The sequence below is a fragment of the Homo sapiens genome, chromosome 2 (assembly GCF_000001405.40).
Source record: "Homo sapiens chromosome 2, GRCh38.p14 Primary Assembly".
Classification (NCBI taxonomy): Eukaryota; Metazoa; Chordata; class Mammalia; order Primates; family Hominidae; genus Homo; species Homo sapiens.
Genome location: NC_000002.12, coordinates 211687169 through 211715119, shown reverse-complemented (window position 1 = coordinate 211715119; position 27951 = coordinate 211687169). Strand labels below are relative to the sequence as shown.

The 27951-nt window shown below is 34.6% G+C and overlaps 1 protein-coding gene across 11 annotated transcripts in view; it reads left to right on the top strand.

Moving 5' to 3' along the window:
* Positions 1–27951, top strand: part of ERBB4 (erb-b2 receptor tyrosine kinase 4) — a 1163086-nt gene that overhangs the window by 823683 nt on the left and 311452 nt on the right. For all 11 annotated transcript variants that reach the window (NM_001042599.2, NM_005235.3, NM_001439006.1 and 8 more), the window contains 5 exons: positions 1472–1585; positions 2944–3070; positions 9729–9802; positions 10926–11016; positions 12954–13153. In NM_001042599.2, the coding sequence (NP_001036064.1) occupies positions 1472–1585; positions 2944–3070; positions 9729–9802; positions 10926–11016; positions 12954–13153 (606 nt within the window). The remainder of the gene's footprint in view (positions 1–1471; positions 1586–2943; positions 3071–9728; positions 9803–10925; positions 11017–12953; positions 13154–27951) is intronic.

Sequence of the window (27951 nt, the reverse complement as noted above, 5' to 3'; positions counted from 1 at the left end):
AATCAATTTCGCTACCTAGAATTATACCCGTTGGTAAGATTTTCTCTTGTCTCTGTGCTTCAAGTCTAGTCATAGGTGAGATGGCAGACAGAGAAGCTGCCATCCATTTTCAGCTAGTACCACATACCTAGTCTATTTTGTGTCTTACTCTGTTAGCTTTTCCTAAGTGCCTTCTCTTAGCCCCCACACAGCCATAGGTATGAGATGACTGAGAGGGGCCAGCCCAGTGGTGGATGGCATGGGGGCCTCTTAACCATTTGCTTATGCAGTTTACTTGTGCTTCTGCCCCTACACATGTCCTACTTTAATTTTACAATGGAATGCTCTTGGACCTGCCCAACATGATGACATTGTGACATTATAGCAAAACCCTGTTCATGATAGGCAATTCTGGCTATAAGGTCTGACCCAAGATCCATCTCTACCAGGACCCAGAAGCATGTCAAAAGCTGTTTATTAAATGGTGTGCAATCCTGTGCTACAGGTGGCATAGCTTAGCTCTAAAAACCTAGAAGTCTCTGTTGTGATTTTCTGATGAAACTTGCCATAAATCTACATGGCATATTTTCCCACTATAGATGCTTCCAATATCATAGAGCCTCTTGGGTTTTATGGCCCAAGTAGCAATATTGCTTGCATCACAGCCTAGATATACATCATATGCCGTTTCTGCTTTGGGCACCCCTCAAGGCTGTAAGCATTCCACAACATTGCATATTGTGCCAGAACAATATTCCCAGGCATGGAAGGATGCTACTTTTAAAACCAGAGTGGCCTAGCAGGTATTGTGTTTCCTATTTATTGTGAGAGCCTTTAGGTGCAATAATTTGTCCTTTATTTTGGAGGGGATGTTCTGGCATATCCCATGTCACTGGACTGCTAGACATTTAATCCAAGTATTGGGTAACAAACTGCTCCTTGTCTATTTGATATACCTTTTCCAAAGTACTACCCTTTCCAATTTTATTTCGTTTCTTCGTATAAAAATATGAGAAAGGTTTTGTGGCACTCCACTGAAAAATAGAACACATTTTGAGCATTTTCTCCTGGATGTGAAATGTACTCTGATCCAAGGCAGTTCAACTTAAGCTTCATTTGTGCTTCATGGACTTGAAGTATTTTTGGACTTCAAACTTGCGTCATGTCATGAAATGAAGTGGAACTATTGACACACACAAGCTAAATGTCACGTAGTTTCCTAAGTATATAAAAGAAATCTACTCTATCTTGGGGGCAATTCAATATGTGGAGCAGTAACCAAGCAAGTACTAGTTGTTGTTAACACACATTGCATTTGACTGGAAATACAATTTCAGGTTGAGATATTTAAACAAAGAGTTGTTTAAGGGTAAGATACATAAACACTATCAATGATGCTAATCATTTTTAAACCCTAAAATATCTTGTTTTGAGCTTGTTTGCTGAATGTTAACATTAATGCTTATTTTACCTTTTTTTTTTTTTTAATCAGATAACTTTGTGGTAGATTCCAGTTCTTGTGTGCGTGCCTGCCCTAGTTCCAAGATGGAAGTAGAAGAAAATGGGATTAAAATGTGTAAACCTTGCACTGACATTTGCCCAAAAGGTGAGTGGTAGCTCAGATTATTTAGTTAGAACTGGGCCTATATAACAAGGTTTTTAATTCACTTTTAAGTAGACCAACTTTTTAATATAAACCCACTCTCACAACCAAACCTACCCACACGCTTTCCATAATTTTGAACAGTTACTCAAAATATGAACTTTTATAGCACTGTATATTATTGAGTTTGAATTTTATCTACTAAAATGGCCCAGAAAAAAACGCACATGTAACATTGATAGGAACTCAGAAATAAAGTTGCCTGTTACTCTGTCAATAGCAAATCTTAAAAGCTTTGTAAAAAACAAGAGTTCACACGGTTATGTTGGCATCACAACACATATTAGTTGCTTGCCACTATATACAAAATTATCTGCTAAGCATAAAAAGAGATCCAGAGGGGCATGAAATTTACTTTCCAGATCTTGAAAATGTATTTTGAAAGATGAGATCTATGAAATGACAAGAAACTTTACCATAAGTTTAAAATAAATATATCAGATAATTCATGCCATAGAATTTTAGCGGAGGAAGGAATCTCTTCCAGCTGTGGGTAGTCTAATTCCTCACCAGAATGAAACCTAAATTAAGCAAGATGAAAATAAAGTCTAAATCTCCTGAATGTTATTAAACTTTTCAAAGTATCAGGGAGTGCCCTAGAAAAGGACAAACTCCACACTTACTTTTAGATGATGTTTTCTCTCTCTCCCTCTCTGTTTCTTCCTTATCCCCTCTCTCTTTCTCTATACATCCCCCCCCACCCACACACAAAAATTGTTTTGTTTGTTTGTTTAAATTAGAAGCTTCAGAAAGCATGTTCAATTTAAGCATAAATATTTGAATGGCCCTTGATTTTGGTTATAATTCACATCATTAGAACTCTTTATTTGCATATATTCTCCATTAGACCACTGTTTTTAAAATTGCAGGTTGTAGACCATTAGTATGTAGGCCATGAAATCATTTTGCTAAAGTTACCAGCATTTCAAAATCATTAAAAATGATATTTTCAAAGAAAGTAGAAAATAGATAATTTTATGTTGTTAGGAGGAGTATTGATTTATAAAATTTCTGTAAGACTTATGTATGTGTTATGTGTGTATACTGGGTCTTGATATAAAATGTAATTTCTCTGATGAGTCATCGTCATTCGATTTTAATGCAGGGACAAGTTTTTAAAGCAGAACCAGTAGTGAATGTTGAACGAATGAATAATTATTTTACTTTTTAGAAAACAAAATTTGTAATATATTTTATATGTTACAATTAAAAATACTCTGCTATTTTATAATGAAGATGCAATGATTTATTGGCCAAAAATAAGTTTCTCAATCCCCTAACTCTGAGTCTTGTTTCTACAGCTTGTGATGGCATTGGCACAGGATCATTGATGTCAGCTCAGACTGTGGATTCCAGTAACATTGACAAATTCATAAACTGTACCAAGATCAATGGGAATTTGATCTTTCTAGTCACTGGTATTCATGGGTCAGTATTAAATTTTTGTGCAAGTTATTTTACAAAGTGTAGACAAAACTGAAGAGATTCTTTAGTTTTGTTTATTTGATTCCTCTGGAAGCTGAAGAGTTTCACCTTTCATTAATGCTCCTCACCAACAAAAGCAGGGGCCTGATTTCACCAGCAATGACAGTATACTAGTTTTGGAATGTGCTCAAACTTTAGTTTGGTGACTAAGGTCAAAAATATAAATTTGTATTTAAACTAAATTATATTTTAGGACATCCTCCTCAAATCCACAGTTTTCAGCAAGCTTGACTTATTTTTAGATATGTTTAGGGAAAAAAGTATCATTGGTTGAGGTGGGAAAATTCATTCAAACTTCTAATGGATTAGCTTGAGAAAACATGAATTAATATCCTTTAAAAAGTCTCACATAAAACTAATCAGTATGTTGAAATTCCCCTGAGCTTCTTCCAGAAATTCTTTGTCCTGATGTGTTATTTTCGTCTTGTTTCCCTTAAGTTGGGAAGTTAGCACCACTGTAAGAGATGCTGCTAAATGAATTTCATTTTGGTAATACAAATTGCAACGTGATTTATCTGGGCTCCTTCATTACAGGACCCCCTACTCGTTTTAACTGGAAAACAAACAAGTTTGTATTCTTTGAATGTCAGTATTTTAACATTGTATGTTATCTATTTGTCTATATTACTACTTAATCCCTAAATGTTAGTGCTGCAGGCTACAGATAAAGAATATCTCTCATATATTTTAATTCAAAATCTTACTCTGAACATGTATCAGATCATTTCTAAAAGCAAACTAATTTGACATATTATGAATAAATATGTCCAAATAGGAATGGCAAGAACAATAGAACAAAGTGTTTCTTTTCATTCAAATCAATTATTATATGTATTATTGCTAAATATCTGTTTATTTTAATAGGTAGCTTTTAATACAGCCCCATGTTAGATAGTATAATAGTATGTATGTAGCTGCCACCCCATAATTGTTGTATCTGTCTTAAGAAATGTTTTTTTTTTTTTACTTGCCTTTTAAAATGTATAGACTTGGTCATTGTCGGCCCATATTCCTACATGGCAACAATTTGTTGGAACTGGGTAGCCATATTAGTCAGTTATCATGCTGTTAATAAAGACACACCCGAGACTGGGTAATTTACAAAGAAAAAAGAGGTTCGGTGGACTCACAGTCCCACATGGCTGGGGAGGCCTCACAATCATGATGGAAGGCCAAGGAGGAGAAAAGCATGTCTTACATGGTGGCAGGCAAGAGACAGTTTGTGTAGGGAAACTCCCCTGTATAAAACCATCAGATCTCACGAGAATTATTCACTATCATGAGAACAGCGTGGGAAAGACCCACTCCCATGATTCAGTTTCCTCCCACTGGGTCCCTCCCACAACACGTGGGAATTGTAGGAGCTACAATTCAATATGATATTTTGATGAGGACATAGCCAAAGCAAATCAGTAACACTAGTCATTTTGAGATGGGACACCCTTAATCAACTTTACCATAGTCCCCACTGGCCTTCTGAGTCCATTTACATTGCTGTCTTACCCTCCTTGCCCCATTGCATAGGAGACCTGGGACAATATTTAGGTGCTTCTTCATAATTTAATGCATATATGACATTTAGTAAGGCAATATACCCACAATTTGACTATATTTAAAACCAAATACCACATGAATGTAAGATTATATTATGCTAATAATGTCTTCTGAGAAATAAGAAGATAGAGCCACTTGACTCACATTGCGTGCTTTCACCTAGAAATAATAAATGAATTAGCCTCAAGCCTTTCACTGTGGGGAATGATTTGAAATCATATTCACATGAATTGCATTAGACAAGTGGTTTTTATCCTTATCAGGCACAACATTCCACTTTTATATATTAAAAAATTGCCACTTTTCAATTCTGAAATAAAATTTATAGATAATGTAACCTAAATATATATTGTTTTAATTATTATAATTCTCTAGTTGTAATTTTAAAAGAAATACGAAAAAGTAAGGTACAATAAAATATTGTTAGGGGAATGCCAAGTTTCCAATTATACGAAAGTTTGGATTTATGAAAAATGAGATTAGAAGGCATTTTTGTGTAAGAAGTACCAGGAAATAAAAAGCAGAGGAACAGCTGACCACTGGAATAGAAAACCACTAGCCAGACACATTGTTATATGACAAAAGAAAGAGGGAAATGACTTTCATTGAAATTGGAGTAAATTGCTTCTCGACTTTTTGGCTAAGATCAAGTGAAATTGGAGCAACACAACTAGGGAATTATACCTGGCCAAAGTATGACCAAGCATGAAGTTTGCACATATGAGGTCCTAAATGTCTAGTAGGACATTTTAAGGTTGTATAAAACATGACTCAATCCTTTGATTTAAGAGACAGTTAACAACCTTGTGATAACTGCTGTAAACTATAGGATCACCCAGTCTCTGTTACAACTGAAACAGCTCTCCAGATGTGCCAACTTCCTGTTCGTGGGGTGGTGCTGCCCCCATTGAGAAACACTGCAAGAATTTTGTGATAGTAGAAAGATTGCAAACCACCAAAAGTGACCTGCCAAGGCTAAAATTCTTACAGATAAAACATGGGTAGAAAGGTTTCAAAAATGTTCTATCTAGTGAGGTTCAGAATAGTTATTTTAGTCTTGGTTCATCATAGAACATAATTATTAAAACTCTAGATTTCTACTAGTTATAAAATTACTCTCTCTCTCTCTCTCTCATATATATATATGTATATATATATGTATGTATATATATATATATATATATGTGTATATATATATATATACACACACACGCATATATATAGTCACCTCCGGCCCAGAGTGGAGGAAAGTTTAATAAATAAATGCAATAAAAAATGGAAACAGGTAGTCCAATGAATAAAAATGCATCAGGCAGTAAGGACCATGCATTTACAAGTTTATGGGAAGAATACCACTTTAGACTAACCCAGACTTCTAAGGAGAAAAATATTGCTCATTCATCCAGGTGAAAAATTACTTATGGAAAATCAGCTTACATGGATTAGAAGTAGAAAGGTAAACCAAGTTTGTCTTAAACATAAACTTAGAAAATGAGAGTTAGGATTTCTTCTTGGATAATTTGATCCAGAGTAGACTGGAGTGTGATTTGCAGCTCCACCACGGAGGGTTTGTGTTGAGTTGCATGGCTTTCTCTCACGTCAAACACTAGGTTTCCTCCAATAAAAAAACTTGAGAAATGGATTAACAATAAATACCTATTTCCTATGATTATTGTGGTGATTAAAAACAAAAGTTGTTTTGAATTGCTCAGCCCAGTGCCTGGCATATTGTAAAACCTTAACAAATGGTATAAAATAGAAGGTTGGAAGTGCAGGGAAGGAGGGAAAGATAGTGAGAGAGAGAGAGAGAGAGAGAGAGAGAGAGAAGGATGGAAACAGAGAGAAATGAAAATCAATAAAAAACAAAACAGGAGGAGAAGAAGGCAGTGGAAAGGAAAAATCACAGTGCCTATGTCTAGTTTATAGCACAGCATGTTGTGCAACAAATATTAATTTTATAGACTTGATTATAGTCTTATATAGACTCTTTTGGAAACCAAATAAAGGCAAAATTTTCCTTACAATGAGTCATGCTTCTTAGTTCAGGGGATTATTTGTCTTTAATCATAGCGCTTAAACCTGGAATATTTAAAATAATAATTATAATTGGGTCTCAAGTATAATTTATAAGGTATTTTCCAGGACAAACATATAAATGAATTATGATGTATTCTTTATTCTCACTGTCATGCCAGCATGAAACATATATTCTGAAGCCTTTCTGTTTCATCTTAGGAAAGTATGGCTATAGAATTAATTCAGTAGAATTAGACATGTTATATATGTATAGATACAAGTGTGGTCATGAATGTAATGTGTGTTTGTGTGTGTATGTGTGTGTGTGTATAAAGATAGAGATATTTTAAAGGTGAACAATACAGAGTATTATAAGCAGAAAACTTACAGTGAATTAAAGAAATGTTTTACCTCAATTTCCATTACCCATAATATTTTACTAACCAGCTTTTGATAAGGTCATATGGTTTGATTAAAATAGCTGAGATGTTTTTAACTGATAAAATGCAAAAATAATAATTTAATGAGGTTGTTACGCTTTTTAAAAACAAGTTTCTCCACAAAATATATTTACTGGCAATTCATCAATTAAAATTTTAATATATAATTAGGCTCAAGAAAGTTAATTGGCATGTTTAGTTTATAGTACAAGAGTACCATTGCCAGAAATAGCAGTGGGCACTCATTTTCTTATTTAGAATGGGAACTGCAGGAAAGCTTAGTGCTTAGGGTTATCGTTAGGAAAACTTTTCTTTCATGTTTTGTTATGTTTTACATTATTGATGTGCATGTGCTTAGAGTAACCAAATGCTCACCAAATAAGCATGTTCATGTTGTGTCACAATGAGACACTGGCAAGAAAGGGTTTACATAGTAGCCTGCAATGGTGCTAGACAATGGAAGGGAAATAATAAACTCGATGATAAAATAAAGTGATTTCAGTGGAAATGAAAATATGTTTCTCTCTCTTTTTCCTGAGCTTTATTTTGGATCACCAAACACAATGACACGGTAGACGTAGTGTTCTTTTGCATGGCTCCGAATTTAGTTAGGGAAGTTAACTGTTTTAAAGTACTATGTATTTCGAGTGGCTATAGGATGCAACTCCCAAGACATACTTTGAAATCAGTGAGTGGAATTCTGTCAACTTATTTGACAAGGGTCCTGAGTCTCTAAAATTAACTGTATAAAATATCTGTGGTCCACTGAGCTTCATGTTAACATTCCAGAATTCATTTCATTCCTGGCAACATGGAAGTGTTCTCAGTAAAGGTCCGGACTGACCCCATTATTGTGTGCTTGCCCTGAATTTTGAGTTTTTCTCAATAAAGCCAAGATATTTGATTATACGACCTGAGCTGTCCTATACTCTGCTTTTCATCAAAGAACAAATGTTGAAAGCTTATTCTTGTACTGCAGAGCTGATATTTCCTCTGTATACAAAATTCTTTGCACATTAAAAAGTGAAGGCAAGAGTTTTCCTACATGATACACTTCATTTTTGGCTTCATGTTCATCAAAAGCATAGTTATTTGTTCCATATATCTTTGCTTGTAAATAGAGAAAGTTGCTAGAACATTTCATTGAGACTTTAAGCTTTTGTGAGATATTAATATGACATTGAGAAAATTTTAATCAATAGTTTATGTGTGAATTATAGGGAAACACATTTATAGTGTTTCTCCAACCTCAGCAATATCCAGTATTTGAGCCTAGTATAAAGCACTCCATGTTAAACTAGCAGTACATTGTATTGATTGCACTTCTTAGTTTGAAACACTAATTTAATCAAGCAAAGTTTTTTTTGTTTTTTTTTTTTTTGTTTTTTTAAGATGTGGAATGGTTTCCAGTAGAGAAGAATATGCTGATGAACCAAGTTCAGGAAGCCAGTACAAGGTGGTTCCAGAGATCAAGGTTGCTGGAACTGATACTCTTTTCAAGACTTGAATGCTGGCATGAATAAATGCCAATGGATTCAGACACAAATCCCCAGGACATAGGCCATATGCCTATCTGTTTGTCAGGGGATTGTGGAACACGTTGATTGATAGCCCTATTAAGGCTGCATATAGTGGATCACTAATGGTTATTCGCCATACCAAAAAGGAATGTTCTCAGAGACTGGTAAAAGAAGAGATGTCCACAGTAAGAATAAAATTTGTTTGGCTGCTACAGGTAGATACATACTTCTAAAAAAGCCTAAGATCACTGTTCTTAGAAGTTTTGATCTGTCTTGAAGAAGTAGCCAATGGATAAAATTTAATCTCTCTGTAAATGGTATATATTAATATGAGGTCTCTACCTAGGATAGTATGAAATGTCTTTTAATGTAATAAAATTTTAAAACTTACTGTGGATTTCTTTAAAAAAAAAACTGGAAGTCTTGCTTGAATTCATATACTTGGAAGCGAATAGTTCCTGTGTTATAAACGTGAATATGAATAAGCTAGATAGGAACAAGATGGTTCTAAGTAATCTGTATGAAGAGAGACTTCTGGACAATGTTATAAATATTATGAAAATTCACAAGTAGATAAATGTAGAGCTACAGAAAAAAAAGATGTCAATTTTATTTGTGTTTGTTTCTGTCCTTCTTACGAATTCCAGGTACTAATAGCAATGTATACTTCTTTGAGGAGCGGAAATGCCAGTTGTTCTCACTATAATATAATGTATTTCTAGACTATATATATTCTTCCAAATCAAGAATAAACTTTTAAAACAAAATAATGTAAAATGGTTCATACATGAGCTTGCTGTCTTTGGGAATTTCATCAGAATAGTTGAAGCTGAATAATCTTATAGATCTGGAATAGGCTTTGATGAAAATCTCATATTTTGTGACATCAAAAATTTCCACAAAACACCTATTATTCCTCCTCCACATCTAGCACAGATTAATTTAAACATGCATTGATAACACCCCTACTGCTAATTAAAATTAAATTTGAATAAAATATTGTCACATTTCTCATATTTTCAATCCTTTAGTAAAATTTAAATTTGGCTACATCTCTTCTTGATTTTCTAGGGACCCTTACAATGCAATTGAAGCCATAGACCCAGAGAAACTGAACGTCTTTCGGACAGTCAGAGAGATAACAGGTAATTTTTTAAACTGCAACTGTTGCGCTATGAACAATATAATTTTTTTAAAAATTACACAAGATTGACTGGGCATCGTGGCTCACACCAGTAATCCCAGCACTTAGGGAGGTTGAGGCGGGTGGATCATGAGGTCAGGAGATGGAAATCCTGGCCAACATGGAGAAACCCTGTCTCTACTAAAAATACAAAAATTAGCTGGGTGTGGTGGCGCGTGCCTGTAATCCCAGCTGCTCAGGAGGCTGAGGCAGGAGAATTGCTTGAACCCAGGAGGTGGAGATTGCAGTGAGCCAAGATCACGCTGCTGCACTCCAGCCTGGCAATAGAGTGAGACTCCATTTCAAAATAACAACAAAAAACAAAACAAAACAAAACAAAAAAAGTTACATAAGATTGGAATCAGCAACTAATTTTCAAAGCAGATTTTAGTTTGTAAAAACTCATGTTATTTTTAAAGATGGTGTCTTTTTAGCTTTTATGCACATTTTGAAAGCCCATGGAATTACAAAATGAGTATCTTTGAAAGTTTGACATTACGACTCTTGCAAGTGTCAACTGATCTTTGAAACTATGTTTTTCTGTTTACTTCTTCAAAAGAAGTACTATTGAAAATAGATAACATGTAGCATTTATTTAGCACATACATATTAAGCATGTAATGTGTTCAACATTGTCTTATAGGTAATATGGGACCCATAGATATGAATCAGACATGGACTTACCGTAAAATAATGCAAAATCTAATGAGAAAGGCTAGATATGTATATAAATGTCTTAGAATACAAGGGTGACACTGATGTCATAAGTGAACAGATGAAGACGTAAAAGATTTCAGAGAAATTGAAACTGTATTTTTCTCTTTATCTAGTTAGACTACATTTTTGCATTTATAAGAATAAATCAAACTGAGTCATTGAAACGTTTCAACATATACAGTTTTATTGGGTAGGACACTCAATCTTGGAAGAATACATATGTAATAGAGTGCTTAAAAAATAGAAATGTTCACTACCCCTTTCTCACTTCCCAACTTTCAACACATTTTCACCATATTTCAAGAAAAATCAGCACTAATACTAAGACAATGATATTCTGATTTATTTTTTCTACTCTTCACTTGTAGGTTTCCTGAACATACAGTCATGGCCACCAAACATGACTGACTTCAGTGTTTTTTCTAACCTGGTGACCATTGGTGGAAGAGTACTCTATAGGTAAGTGGATATGTTTAAAGCTGCAGGGCTCACAGATTTCAAGAGGAGCATTGTGTGTGCATTAAGTCAAAACTATCACTCTTATTGATTTACTGATTCTGGGGAAATCATGCTTCCATCCTTATTTCCAAAGATAAGCTCAATAAAAATACCTCCGATGATGGTGTGAGGTATTACAGAATACATACTTTGATTTTTCAATTGTCTGTCACTCAAAATAATATTAGTATTTTGCAAGTATGGAGGGCATGATGTGAACAATCCAATGAAACTTTCATTTTTATCAGATGTTATCACAATTAAAAGATAAGAGTTGTGTGACTTGTTAATAGCTTGGGTGTATAGGATACAAATGCTGTTGTGCCAGGAGGTTCTGTTCTTGTCTCTGGTGCTATAATTGAACTACACGTCACAGGGCTGATGTTTTAGGAACTCGTCCACCACTGTACGTGTAGTGCTGGTTAATAAATGGACAAAAAAAATTCAGGTTTAGAAGGACATTGATAAAATTATAACATCAATAATTTAAATTCACGTTATAAGAGTAAAAGATTTCTCTGATGTCATCTGTATGATGTTCTTATTTATGAACAATTAAAAGTCAATTTGCATAAGAATTTTTTAAATTTGTCTATTTAAGTTCAAAATATCTCCAAACTTAATATCATCATTGATTTTCTAATAATGTTTTATAAAAAGTACATCGAATTTCACTATTAAAATTTAAAAGTTATAGGAGGTTTTAAAAATGTAAAGGAGAAAGGAGCTTAATAAGAAAGGATAGTTGAAAGATACAATCTATTAAAGTGCTGTATATAAACAACTTTTACTATCCGTTGAATAAATATTATAAGCCAGTCAAGACATTGTGCTAACATTGTAATCAACAACTCAAGATAGTTATGATGGGGACAAAATTTGAGAGAAAGAGTTACATCTTAGTCTTTATCATTGAGCATACATACACACAAACACACACACACACCCTGACAACCATGGAAAATAATTATAAATATTAACAGCAAAGAATATTTAAAACTATAAATAAAAGTGGAAAGCTTTGATCTCCAAAATGTAAAATAATATTCATTAGCTGATCGAAATGTGGAAGCATGTTTATTCTTTAGAGAATGGAAAAGTAAATAAGTAAAAAAAAGTAAATAAGTAAAAAAGTAAATAATTACAAAAATGTGGACTATAGTAAAATAAAAGTAGTTTCCTCGATTTTTCAATTTTCTGTCACTCAAAGTAATATTAGTATTTTGCAAGTATGGAGTGCATGATGTGAGCAATTCTAAACAGGGTAGTTGTTATTTAACTTTTAGAGACCTTTTCCCCAGATACCCAAGGCATCTGAGTTTGCTTTCTTTTTCTAATTTTAGTTTAGTTTGATTCTTTACATTTTACTATCTCCTAACCTTACTTACACATTCCTCAATTATTACAGTTCTTTGGTGTCTGAGGTATAAATTAAAGCTAAATACCTATAATCATTTTCTGAAATTATTTAGACATACTCTGAAAGTATGTCTAAATCTATTACATAAAGAGGAATTAATGTCTTATTTTGAGTAGATGAACAATTGTTTTATAAACACTTCTTTAGTGTTAATACAGGATTTCATCATTGAACAATGTAAAGTTAAGTCTTGGGGTGGGAAGATAGTGAGCAGATATTTCAGTGGTAAATACATACACAGAAATAGAGATACACTGCCAATATGCATAACTGTAAGCAATGGAAATTTTACTTTGGGAGGTCAAATTATTACTTTAAAAACTGTATATAGCATGTAAAAACAATATTCTAAACACAGATTTATTGATTCAGTTTCCATTTATACACCATTAACATTCTTTTTAAAATAAAATGTGACAGCCTTATTTTACTCCGGAATGCGTTTCATGGTTCCGTTTTCTCACTTCCCCCTCCTTAGTGGCCTGTCCTTGCTTATCCTCAAGCAACAGGGCATCACCTCTCTACAGTTCCAGTCCCTGAAGGAAATCAGCGCAGGAAACATCTATATTACTGACAACAGCAACCTGTGTTATTATCATACCATTAACTGGACAACACTCTTCAGCACAATCAACCAGAGAATAGTAATCCGGGACAACAGAAAAGCTGAAAATTGTAGTAAGTACATTACTCAGACATTTAAAACATAGAAACTTAAATTTTTTCCCATTCTTCTTTGGACCAAACAATTAAAAATAACATCCGGTCAGAATTGTTGCTCTGTTATCCCAACCCTTAAAAAGGAAGGTAGTTGTTACAATTACCAACATGGTATAAAATAATCAGAATAAGTGACTTTCTTTTTTTTTTTTTTTTTTTTTTTTTTTTGAGACGGAGTCTCGCTCTGTTGCCCCAGGCTAGAGTGCAGTGGCGAGATCTCGGCTCACTGCAAGCTCCGCCTCCCAGGTTCACGCCATTCTCCTGCCTCAGCCTCCGGTAGCTGGGACTACAGGCGCCCGCCGCCGCGCCCGGCTAATTTTTTTGGTATTTTTAGTAGAGATGGGGTTTCGCTGTGTTAGCCAGGATGGTCCCGATTTCCTGACCTCGTGATCCGCCCACCTTGGCCTCCCAAAGTGCTGGGATTACAGGCATGAGCCACCGCGCCCGGCCGTCTTGCCTGATCTTAAGAACCCTCCTGTGGAGATTTGGATTCAGTTAGGTCTAAGTAAGACCTGGGCATTTACATGTTTAATCGGCATCCCAGGTCATTTCAAGGATCCAATCAATTTGTGGAGATCGACCCTATTGAATTCTCTGTTTGTTGTTTGGTTTCAGGGAGTTTCATAACAGAATAACAGAGTTTTGCCATTTAGAGGTGGTAAGAAAAATGACGTATTTTTCTAACATGTAAAAACTACTATTCAAGAAGTATATGTTCAAGGTGTTTTATTTTTCAGAAAGAAAGTTTATTTTATTAATGCATTTATGTAGACATGTATATCATTTTTTCATCTATTTTGCTACTTATTGATTCATTGAATAATTTCTTATTTACTCTGAAGCAAATAATGCTTTTGTAGGCACATGACTATGCCATTCCTATCGAATACACTGATACTCCGTTGATTTATGCTTAATTCTTCCCTGTTTTTCTACTGAATACTACTCTTTCCTACATCCTATGAGTGCCACTATTATGAGTACAACCATCTGACTCATTATGGTAAATACTGAATAAAAAGAATCCGAACTCAAATGAACTGTTTGCAAATGAATATTCTTGTTGTGGGCACAAAATCAATCCATTCTAAAAGGCAGAACCCTAGAAAATTCTGCTCTCACAGTATTTGCTTACTTCTTTGATCTCTCCAGGGTACACATAAATAATGATTGAGTTTGTGTGTGCGTGTATACGTGTGAGTGTGTGCGTGTGTGTGTGTGAATAAATAGAAGACTTTTTTAAAGTTATAAACTCTTAAGAGGCCAACATAATTTGTTTATTGAGTTGTCAGTGAATTAATTGATTTATTAAGACCCCATCTTGTTCCAGAAATAATTTAAGGCAGCTCAGTCTACCAATCTTCATAAAATATAACTTATAATTTGTGAGGAATTCTCTTATATTTTAGCTCTTTTCGATCCTTAAAAATATTTCCAAATAAAGGAGATCTATTACAACATGAGGTTCCTGCTAAGAGTGAACTTAAGTTCTTACTCATTCTCATGTTCCACATAGAATCACGAAATGTAAAATCTAATTGTGTATCAAAATATGCATGTTATATTGAATGATATTCATTATTTCATTTGGCCTGTGTTATTTCCTTGGTTTTACACATTACTGATTCCTAAAAGAAAATTTGTTGTGCTTTTTCCTTAATACTTAAGCTTCTTACCCCATATCACAATATGTGTGTGTACATGCCCCAAAGTAGATGATTCATGGCAATAAGATAGAATCTTCTTCAATACCAATTGATGAATGTTTCCCTAAATCAGGGCTATACTCTCGTTTCCTTCCACATCCTTAAAAAAATTAGTACCACTACCTTTCAAAAATTTAACTGTGAATTCAAAATAATGTAAAGAAATATATAAAAGAATCAGAAAAAAAATTCTTCCTCTTTGATGCACTTAATCAGTTTGCAAATCCTACAAAAATTCATATGTCATATATCTGTCTATACTTGAATTAAAAAGCAAATGGGAAGAAGAAAATGCAAAAAAATAAATGTAGGGAAGCAAGATGGGAAAAAGGGATATTTCAATAAATTATATAATGTTATTTCACCCCTCTTTAAAACTTCTAAACATTTCAAATGACCAAAAGAGAGTGAATAATGACAATGATAATAAGCTAAAATATAAAATGTGTTTAAACTTTCAGTGTTATGCTTCTTGGATTGAGTTTAGCTACTTTTCAGACCATAGGCATATTTTTTTTTTGTTCTGTGCATAAGAATTGACTTTGCAGTTTGGGGAAAAAAATGAAGCAGTTAGGAGAAACATAGTTTTGTGGTGCTATAGTATCAAGCATATCATTTTTCATTTTTAACGTCTTAGAATAAATGTATTTTGCATGAAATTCATTTATCAAAATTTGGACTTCAGTCTCACAGCACACCGGATCCATAAAAATTCCATATGCCTCCATTTTCAGAAATATAATTACCCTGTAAACTTGACCTCAGAGATGCTGCTGATGTTTACAATCCCCAGTACTCTTTGTAAATGGGAATGTCTAAATGCTTGCTTCATTTTAAATGCACTGTAAATGTTTCATTTTTAGATATTCTGTCTTGCTATATCACACACACACAAGATGTACATGAGCATACGCACATGTTCACTACAACACCTAAACATATATGCATATCAGCGTGCATGTCTGTATGTAGTTCCACATACAACACACATGCATATATACACACCTAGAAAACATATCCGTGCATACACACCCTTACATGCTCACCTACATTTACATGCAGTCACCATCAAATACACTTATCTAAATCTAGGAGTTGGCTTATGAACTTAATGAAAAGGCAATCCTTCATTTGTAATGGTGTTTTTTGGAATTCAGCATGATTTAAAACAGTAATGACGATTTTTTAAAAAGTTAACTCATCTATAAAGGGTAACAGTGGCTAGAGCAATCTTACTCTTTTAAGTCAAAAATTTCAAAGCTGACTTTATGGTTTGAAGAGATTGAGATTGCGGGAAACTCTGGGACATGAAAAGCTAGAATATTTTGGGCATCTATCATTTACGTGGTTATGATAGTAACCAAATTACAGTGTTAGGTGGAAGAAGTTTTAGAGTAGGTTTATAAAAGCATTTGAAGTTTCTTAAAATGTTTAAGCATAAATTTTTAACACTGAAATATAAGCAGTGTAGAGATAAATATTACACCAATCCTTTAGAATCTGAGTTCTATTTGAACTTATATATCTCATCTTAAAAATATTTATACAGATACTGTTAAACCCAACATGAATAAGAGATAAATTCATTATTGATTTTCAAAATAAAAATATTTTTATTTTTACAATTTTAATAGTACCTTTCTCATTGTTCAATATAAAACCAATCAAAAATATATAAAAATATTTTTAAACTACATTATATATAATTATTGGTGAATATATTTTTCATATGTATGGATAAGGATAGTGAAATATATATTTTCGTATATGAATAGGATCATACCATTTCTATTTAAATACCATTCAGCCATCTATATCTTATACTTAATATAGTATAAGCATCTCCCATTCAATAGATAGAGCATAGAGCTCTTCCTTATTCCCCTTTTTTTTTTTTTTTTTTTCTGAGACGGAGTCTCACTCTTGTTTCCCAGGCTGGAGTGCAATGGCACGATCTTGGCCCACGACAACCTCTGCCTCCCTGGTTCAAGCAATTCTCCTGCCTCAGCCTCCCTAGTAGCTGAGATTACAGGCAGGCGCCACCACGCCTAATTTTGTATTTTTAGTAGAGACGGGGTTTCTCCATGTTAGTTAGGCTGGTCTTGAACTCCTGATCTCAGGTGATCCGCCCGCCTCGGCCTCCCAAAGTGCTGAGATTACAGGTGTGAGCCACCATGCCTGACCTTCCTCATTCCTTTTTAAAGCTATTTATAGAAGTATGCTGGACTAGTACCATATTAATTGTATTTTAAATTATTTTCCATTTTTATATCATCACTACTGCCATGATGTGTATCTAGTTTATGAAACATTTTGTAGTGTACAATTATTTCCTGAGGCTAAAAACTTAGATGTGGAATTTCTGTGTAAATGACGCTACATAAAAATTTTCTCACTAATTTCCACGTCATCTTCCAAAAATACTAAATCAATTAACCTTGTTCCAAACACTGTGGGATAGTAACGTTTTCCACCACTGTTTTAAATCACTGGATATCATCTATGGTTTTAAATTTCAGTGATCTGAAAGAAGAAAAGAAGTATTTTATATTTACATGATTAATTTATCTTTTTTTAAATCTTGTAAATTGCTTTATATGTGAACTTTTTTCATTTTTAATTTGGGAGTTGTTCTTTTTCTCCTAAATTTGAAAGAACTATTTACAAATTAAATTCATTAAATTTTGTTCTTTAAATGTGTTGGGAATAAGTTCCTCTCTTACTGGTAATTTGAATAATTTGTCTTTTGATAAACTAATGTTTATCAAACCATATTTTTATATAGTTAAGTGACTAGATTGTTCTTTTCCTTTTTAATTGTTTGATCTTGTATTTTTAGACAATTCTTTTCATCTAGTACTTTAAAAACAATATTGAAATTTTTAACACATCTTGACATTTTGGCATAGCATTTTTAAAATTTCCTGATTGGAATATGGATCCAAAATAATTTATTAAACAAGCCATCTCTCCTTTTTGACTTTAGCTGATCAGCTAACAAATCAGCTAAAAGGTGCCAGACTCTATCTCTCAACCTAGCTATATTGTTTAATTTAGTTATTACAACCACCCTGTAAAGTATAATCATCTGCATTTGCAGATGAGTATACATACATTAAGAAAGTTAAATGATATTTCCAGTTTTGGAGCTACTAAAATCCGATTAAGGATTTGAACCCAATGCCTGTCTGACTTCAAAGTCTAGGCTCTTCATTTCACCGTGATTCCTCTCAAAATAAAGAAAATATTGGCCGGGCATGGTGGCTCACGCCTGTAATCCCAGCACTTTGGGAGGCAGAGGTGGGCAGATCACCTGAGGTCAGGAGTTTGAGACCAGCCTGGCCAACATGGTGAAACCCCGTCTCTAGTAAAAATACAAAAATTAGCCAGACATGGTGGCAGGTGCCTGTAGTCCCAGCTACTGGGGAGGCTGAGGCAGGAGAATTACTTGAACCCAGGAGGCAGAGGTTGCAGTGAGCCAAGATCACGCCACTGTACTCCAGCCTGGGCAACAGAGAGTGATTCCTTCTCAAAAAATATATATAAATAAAAATAAAAATAATGAAAATGTGATTAATTTTCATAAGAAAATTGGATGATTTACTGAAGTATACCCTATATAACATATTATTCAGGAGCACACTCTAGAGCCAAATGGCCTGGGTTTTAATCTCAGCAGAACTCTTTGCTATCTGACCTTTACGGAGATCACTTATTGTCTCTATACCTCAGTTTTATCATTTTAAAAATGGAATAGATAATAGTATTCACCTCATTGAAGGCCTGGCTCAAAGAAAGTGCTATACATAGCTGGGCACAGTGGCTAAAACCTGTAATCCTAGCACTTTGGGAGGCCGAGGTGGGCAGATCACCTGCAGTCAGGAGTTCAAGATCATCTTGGCCAATATGGTGAAACCCTGTCTCTACTAAAAATACAAAAATTCACCAGGTGTGGTGGTGCATGCCTGTAGTCCCAGCTACTCGGGAGGCTGAGGCAGGAAAATCACTTGAATCCAGGAGGTGGAGGTTGTGGTGAGCCAAGTTCACACCATTGCACTTCAGCCTGGGCAACAAAGTGAGGAAAGAGAGAAAGAGAAAGAAAGAGATAAAGAGAAAGAAAGAGAGAGAGGAAGAAAGGAAGGAAGGAAGGAGGGAGGGAGGGAGGGGGGGAAGGGGAAGGAGGGAAGGAAGGAAGAGAAAGGAAAGAAGGAAGGAAGGGAAGGGAAGGAGGGAGGAAGGAAGGAAGGATAAAAAGAAAGAAGAAATAAAAAGAAAGAAAAGAAAGAGCAAGAGCGAGCTATACATGTATTAGATATTGTTACTACTAAACATTTTATTTTCCTATTAAAAATAGTTTATATATTAGACATTCATATATACACATGTAATGTGAAGATACAATATTTAATTTTACTTTATGAAAAAATGCCTTTTGGGGGATAAAAAGGAAAGATAAATATCAAGAGCTTTCTTTTTTACGCAGAAGAAAAATTTACCTTATTAAAGTGGTGAATTAAAAATTTGTGAGAAAAACATCAACCATTGGGAGATATGGAAGGAATATTAGTTATTATGTTATTAACAGGAGGCTAGACATTGAAGAATTTAGAAATGATCTCAAAATCATAAGCAGATAAAAAGTATATGTTTGAGAATCCCTTGAAATATATTTATTTTTCTTTTTTCTCTTCTAAATTAAAACATTTTAAAATTGGCTTTATGATAAGTAACAGACTTAGTATTTTTAAAAATTCCAAAAAATATCAAGTTTAAATTAATGGCTCAGGGGAAAAATATCTGGTGATGGGGAATATATTTTTTTGGCACAAAGAAGCCAAAAAGGATACACATTTTTATATTTATCTCTGGTTTTTATGTTTCTGAAATTTGACAGTAGAAAAATCCACCCCATTGTACATGAATCTAGAAAAAGGTAATTTCAGAACTATAGTTAATTGCTAATAACTGAACTCTCTGGATGACAACATCATCCAACTTTATAGTGAGTCCAGAATTGAAGCAGGCCAAAGAGTTAATAAGTAGGGAATGGAAGGTATATCACACAGTGGAGAATAAAACAGTGTTTGCTTAATATATTGTTTTATTTGTTTTTCTCTGGTAACTGTGATAAAACAACAAAATACAGAAGCAAGCATTTTACTTACTATAACATCATAAGAAATGTTGGATTTCTATAAAATAAACAGACTTTATATCGTCGTCATTTCTAATATGTTGTATATTATAGAAAATGAATTTTGATTATAAATTAAGATTTACCTTATTTTAAGAAAATATTACTAAGGTGGCAGATTTTCTTACTTTCTCCTGCTCCCATACTTTCACCTTTAATTTGTGCACTCCTAACCCATCCCATGCTATCTTGAGTAAATGTGCTTTTACAAACAAAATGCAGCCTACCAAGTTAGAAGAATCATCCTTTGGGTCTGGGAGCCTGGGAAATCAATGAATTCTGCGACAGATTTCATTAAACCATAGCTTGGTATGAACCATAAAGTGTGTAACTTTGAATATAGTGAAGTCGCTATTCTTCTGAGTAATCAGAAAATAGAAAATCTTAATTATACTTCTAAGATTTTCCTTTTAAAATTACTAGAGTAATACATCAATACACTGTTCTTTGTAAAAAAAAAAAAGCATTCAAGTAAGATTTTGTTATTGTATTTGAAACAGCACACTGTCTAATTACTAACAATGCTAGAAAATGTTCACTATGTTCTTATCAAAAGGATAATAAGCAGTTACTCTTGCCAATTAGCTACAGAAATGATATCCCTTCTATTTTGTAATCTAGAAATTCTGAGAGAATGATATCTCAACAATAAAAGCCAGGATTACTGCAGGCTCCAGTTTTTATTACAAATGGTGGGTGATATTTTAACCTGACTTGCCTCTACATCAGTGGTTGCAAAATTTTAAAGTAAAACTTATAATTATTAAAAATGCAAAAGCTAGGCTCCAGTTCTCCAGAGATTCTTATTTAGACAGTGTTGTGAGTTGTATTGTGTCCCCTCCAGAAGATGCTGAAGTCCTGACCCCTGGTATCTATGAATGTGACCATATTTGGGAATAGGGTATTTGCACAAGTAGTTAAAATGAAAGTTAAGATGAGCTTATACTGGAGCAGGGTAGGTCCTTCATCAAATGACTAGTGTACTTACAAGAAGAAGAGAAGAGACACACAGATGGACACACACAAATGAGAACGCCATGTGAAGACATACACCCACTCAGAGGAAAGACAGCTGTGTGACAGCAGAAGCGACTATTGGAATGATATAGAGGTGAGCCCAGAATGCCAGGGATTGCTGGCAACCACCAGAAGCTAGGGGAGGACCATAGAACATTCTCCCTCTGAGAGCCCAAGAAGAAACTAGCCTGCGAACACCTGGATTTTGGACTTCTGATCTCTAGAATTGTGAGAGAATAAATTTCTGTTGTTTTAAGAAGCCTAGTTTATGGCAGTTTGTTACACTATTTCTATGGAACTAACACAGACAGTGGGGTGGGAAACCTTAGATTCTGCATTTTTAATACAAAGCAGATCATTCTGAGACAGATGCCTGTGGGAAATCCTTTGGGAAACTCTACTCTGTCACACCCCATATTATTCCCCCATCGTTCTATAGTCAAAAAGACATTTGAGAACATGTGATCCTAACAATTCCTTTTTTCTTCTGAAGCTGTGTTCCCTTGTAGGAAAATTCATAATTGAATAGCTTAAAACCATATATTTAATAATATAGGTTTGGGAGAAAAAGATAAAGAGCTAACTCTAAAAAGCATTCTATAAATAGTGGGGTTTTTTTGCATTTACTAACAATAACATATTCAATAAAATAAAGGGAATATTTAATTATAGTTTATACAGTAATTGGGTAATTATACTATAATAAGTATTGTACTATCAAATTTTATTTACTTTAGACTTTCAACAAAATACTTTTGGATTCATTTTATTTTTTTGACACATATCTCTTCTGAGAGGTATTTTATATTGTGCTCAGTTTTCTAATCAAACCTTAAGACTTTCTAAAATTTTATTTCTGCTGTCACTACTGCCTCTCACCTCCTCCTATCAGAATTTGCTGCTCTGGTCCCACTCACATCAGAGATATAGAGTAACTAGGGTATATAAGAGTTAACAACAATTTGTGTAGCATCTATTTAACCTATTCAACATGGGGAAGGGGTATGTTTCTGCACTTACTTCTCCACTGCTGCTTCCCCAACTTCTTTGTTAACCCATTATAATTTTTTACAATGTCATATAATGTCATTACACTTTACACATGTCTAACCTTGCCTACACACAGAGCTTATTGACAGTTTAGTGCTTATGAAAGACTGAATGATGGCCCCCTGAGGATGACTGCATTCAAATCTTCAGAACCTATGAATGTTATATGGTAAAAAGGACGTAGCAGATGTTATAGATCTTAAAATAGAATGATTATCCTAAAGTTATTTGAGTGGGTTACAAATATAATCACACGTGTCTTTATAAGAGGAAGGTAGAGGGAGGTTTGACTACCGTAAAGGAAAAGGTGATGGGACCATGGAAGCAAAGGTTGGAGCAATGTCACTGCAAGCCAACGCCAAAGGGGTCTTTAAAAGCTGAAAGAGGCAAGGAACAAATTCTCTCCTGGAGACTTCAGAAGCAATCAGCCTTGCTGACACCTTGATTCTAGCCCCTTAAGAGTCATTTTGGACTTCTGAACTCCAGAACTATGAGAGACTAAATGTAGGTGTTTTTAAGCAATGAAGTTTGTAGTAATTTGTTACAGCATGAATAGGAAATTATTTCAGTATTCTTTTAGTGATATAAGTCCAACCCAGATTACTTTAGGCATAAAGAGACTGTATTAACTCACAGAAATGAGAAGTCCAAGAAATAGCTTTTCGGACACAATTGGATCCAGGGGTTCGAACAACATCACTAGGGCTCAATCCTCTATTTGCTTCACTCTGCTTTCCTCTTAGGCAAATTCTCATTCTTCATGAAAGATGACTGGCCCTGGCAGGCATATGCTAAGAGCATTCACAGAGTTTATGAACACAGATTAAAAAGCTCTACCTTCCCTCTTCAGTACAGATTGACGCTATTTGGGTCAAACGCCTATCTCTATTATCGCTATTATCTCCTTGTCACCAACTATTCAAATATACCTTCAAGTCAATCCCATCAAAGAAATTGAAGTGACATTTTTTGAAATAGGAGGTCCTTTACTCTCCTGCTTAGAACCTTTCAACGGATTCCGACAGCTCTTTGACCAAAACACAAAATCCTAAAAATGGCCACTAGGTCCTGCACAATCTGTCCCTTCTCCATCTCACCAGTTTACAGGGTACCACTTTCCCATATGCTGCCCATGTCAGTTTTCTGAGAGCACTAACCTTATTCCTTCCTCAGACTCTCTTGGCTAGAGTTACAATTGCCCCTTTCCCCCACCCCTTTGCCTTAAGAACTCTTACTTACCCTTCTTATTTCAGCTTTAATGTCCCTTCTTCTGTGGGCTGACCTAATGCCATTTGCCCACTAAGTTAAGACAACTGCTGTATTCTATGTTCTCTCAGCAATCTGTTATATATATACACACACACACACACACACACACACACACACACATATGTTTCTATGCATACATAAATTTATGTGCAGCCTGTTTTTCTAATTAGCTGTAAACTCCATGAGGTAACAAAATATGTATTCTATTTCATGTTTCAGTTATATCCTCAGCTCTTAGCAGAGCTAGCAAAAAGTAGTTTCTCAATAAATATTTTTCAAAATAAACACAGGGATATGCTTTTATGCCTTCACATTTCTCTTGAGTACATGTATTGAGCATTTACTTAATGTCTCAGACCCTGTATTAAAAATTCTACTAATTTTATGTCTAATCTTCATCACAATCCTGAAAGAAGATATTACTGTTCACTTTAAAGATAAGTAGCATGTAAGTAATTGCCCAAGGCTACCTGGGTAATTACAGAGTAAGGGTTTAAATCTATGTCTAATCACAAAACCTTAACTATGATGACCACTAAACAGTACTTCTCAGCTTTTAAAAAAAAGATGAACAATACCTGTCCAAATACATTTCAATATTTTTGAAATAATCTGTTTACTTTCACATGTAAAACTGTAGCAAAATCCATTACTTAAAGCTTCCCTCTAGTTTAGTTAAAGCAGGTTCAGTGTTCTCGGTAAAGGTCAAAATACTAAGCACATTATTATCTCTCCAAATTTTTAACAGACAGCTGGAATTCAGATGAGATAAAGAAAAATCTATTTTGCAGCTTCCAGAGAAAACACAGAAGAAGTTAAAGGTTGCCTAATAACTACATTGCTAAAGTTTCTTTAGAGAGATTTATAATGGCCTTTTGAACTGTAAGCCATTGCAGAGCCCTTCCACTCCTTCACTCATGACTATCACTGCAGGAAGTCAGAGGGCTGTTGAATTCTTGGTGCTGATCGAAAATTTCTTTTCTCTTAAGAATTTCAAAGAAGTGGCTTCCTTGGCCTTTTGTTCTATGCTATGTGGAGATACTTCCTTTGGTTTCACTCTAGAGAAAATGATCAACCAATCTTCACTTCCATCATCTATTGGTCTGGAAAGAATGAGAAGAAAATAGTTATGACGGTTTCCTGTTTATTATTGATTTCTTCCAATAGATATTGTTTCCCTGACCCGAAACTGCTCTGAAATTGGGCATATGATAAAGACTTAGGGAGGCATTAGACAGCCGAAGAGAGGTAAGATTTTGGGTGAAGCTGAAGCTTCCTCTCCAATTTATGTCAAAGCATGTAACGAAAGATCAAAGCAGTCAGCCTTTACCCTTCCACTTACTGTAAAGTGCTGTCACCTTTAGCAGAGGTAAGGGGAAGGGACAAGAGGGAGAAGATAGCAAACCTGAAAGTAAATAACGTGATATGGTAAAATAAATGGACCCAAAAGTTTATGGAATATCATAAAATAGACAGTGCCAAGGGAATGTTTGTGACCTTGTCAATGTCCTCAAGAAAGAAACTGAGTTAAGTTAGAACACTAACTTAAGACAACTGCTATATTCTATATTAACTTAGCACTGAATATATATTAGATGTATATTATATATTATACATAATATATATTACATTGATATATATTTATATATCATATCTATAAAGTGTATATATATATTTTAGATAGATAGATAAAATTATCTGTAATTGAAGGCCTGAGATAGAACTTGATAAAACATATTAAAAAAAGAAAACAAAAGTGATCAATACGGAGAGACTCGTGACACCGTACAGTATAATTTTAACCATTCTCTACTTCTCTTTACAAGTTGTTCTCATAATACAACTTTCCCTCTTCAGGATTTCCTCTGAAGATCATGTTTATCCCATTAGCAAGAGTATGTAAACACTGTATATAACGATATATGTCAGAAAATGAGATACTTGATAAGTAACCTTTAAATGTCTAAATGGTTATAAAATGAGTATTGTAACTTAATATTCATAAATATAATTGATCTTTGCTACTTTTATAACTTTGTCTATTATATAGAATTCGACCACCCATTTATATTTAATCAGTTTGGTTAAACTATCTTTTTACTCTTTACATCTTTATAAATTAGTGCGAAGTCATTCATATTCTACTTTTTGGGAACTGGTGATATAAGACCTATGTTAAGGTTATATTTCTGGCTGGGTGCAATCATTCATGCCTGTAATCCCAGCACTTTGGGAGACAGAGATGGGAGAATTTCTTGAGCCCAGAGTTCGAGACCAGCCTGGGCAACGTAGTGAAACTCCATCTCTACAAAAACAACAACAAAAAAGTAGCCAGGTGTCATGGTGCATACCTTTAGTCCAAGCTACTTGGGAGGCTAAGGTGGAAGGATCACTTGAGCGCAGGAGGTCAAGGCTACAGTGAGCCCATATCACACCACTCCACTCCAGCCAGGGCAACAGAGTGAAACACTGTTTCAAACAAACAGATTCCATTTATGCTGACATTTCTTTTGTGGAATGAGAGAAACCTCTTCCTCTGTATTATGACTAAATCAGAAAGAAATAAGCACTATTGCTATTGGTTCAAAATTAATATAACAGAGAAACTGTTGATAAGCCATTCCCAAGCAAAACATCAAATCATTCAGCTTTTCAGGGGAAGAGAGTCTAGATATGATAAGAAGATAAAATGTCATAATATATGATATTTCATTTTAATAAATATTTAAGACATGGAGAAAACCACAATTAAGTAAAACCTGCAAACTATGAGTTACCTAAAATAATTTATAATATATTTAAGCATAGGGTCAATCCTATCTACACAGGAAAGCATTCCATTTAGTCTCTGTTCTTTCAGATTATCTTTAAAAATTCTCTTTATGTTATTTAAAATAACTACAAAGTTAATTAGAATAGAAGAATATATAGTTTTAAATGAAGCTTAGTGGGTGCTTAGCAGCTTTTTTGGATCATTTGGGAGAAATTTTATGTGAAAAATTTTGTCTGTAAACAAGAAACAGCAAGTAATCCCACTTTGCATTGTTAAAAGTAAATATAAGATGTTCACTTCTGACAAAGATGAAATAACAAAAGGGAGGGATCGAATTTACCCTGCCTCATGAAACAATCAAAAAAAGGACAAAATAGATGAAACAATAGTTTGCAATAGACTGGAGAGCAGAACACAAGGGAAAGTGATTCCTGAGAGTGAGAAAATAAATGAGGTGAGCCTTATGACTGCTCTGGCTAAGTGCCTTGAGAGAGATTTTAAGCCACAGTATAATGAGGGAGATCCCAGGCAGAGTCCCAAGAACTCCAGGTTGAGAAGACAGAGCTAGGAGTCCAGGCAGAATAATGCAGCTAGAGTTGACAGACAATACCAGAGAGGAAAGCAGCACAGAGAGACAACTGCGCTGTAAGAAATATTAAAGGAAGTCCTTCAGACAGGAGGAAATAATACCAGATGGAAATGTGGATCTGTACATAGGCTGAGGAGCACCAGAAATGGTAACTACATGGATGAATATATAAAATTTTCATCTTATTATTTAGTTGTCTTCAAATACGATGTCATGCTAAATCGAAAATAGTAACAATGTAATGTGGAGTGAATAACATGGGAAAGTAAGATGTATGATAATAGCTCAAAGGTAAGGAATGAAGAAATAAAAGCATCCGATTTTAAGATCCTTAGAATAGATGTGAAGTGGTAGAGTATAACTTGAAAACAGCCTGTAATAAATTAAAGATATATACTGGGATTTTGCTTCTGTGAAGATGGAGGAAACATACTTTTACCTTTTCCTCCCGCTAAGTACAAATAAAAACCCTGGACATTATAAGACAACTCTGAAAGGTGGACAGAAGAGACAGACAGGTGTGAGATCTTGGAACCCAAAGAACAATGCAGAGGTGAGTTCTCTGAGTTTTCTTTTTGCTGCATATATCCCAGATTTCAAGATGAAGAAACTGGCAACTCAGAATCCCCAACAGATGCAGATAAAAAAAAGCCCCAACAAAAGCCTGTTCTTTCTACTCAAAGAATCTGGAAAGGGGCAGGTAGACAAGACAGAAACCTTTTAGACAATAATTGCTCCACTCCAGCCAAACACCACAGAAAAACAACAAACAAACATACAATGCTAAAAACAACAAACAAACATACAATGCTAAAAATAACAAACAAACAAACTTCAGTCAAGCTCGCAAAAGAGAGGAGAGTGTAGACTTCTACTCTCACCAGGCCAATCTCCCTTCCATGTGATGTCAGAGAAGGCAGGGTATGGAGTTCACATTTTCATCTCCACTGAGTGATAGATACTAGGCAATATTGTGGGAGGGTTCTTTTTTCGTTTTTTCTTGTCTTTTTTTTTTTTTTTTTGAGACGGAGTCTTGCTCTGTCACCCAGGCTGGAGTGCAGTGGTGCGATCTCGGCTCACTGCAAGCTCCGCCTCCTGGGTTCACGCCATTCTTCTGCCTCAGCCTCCCAAGTAACTGGGACTACAGGCGCCCACCAC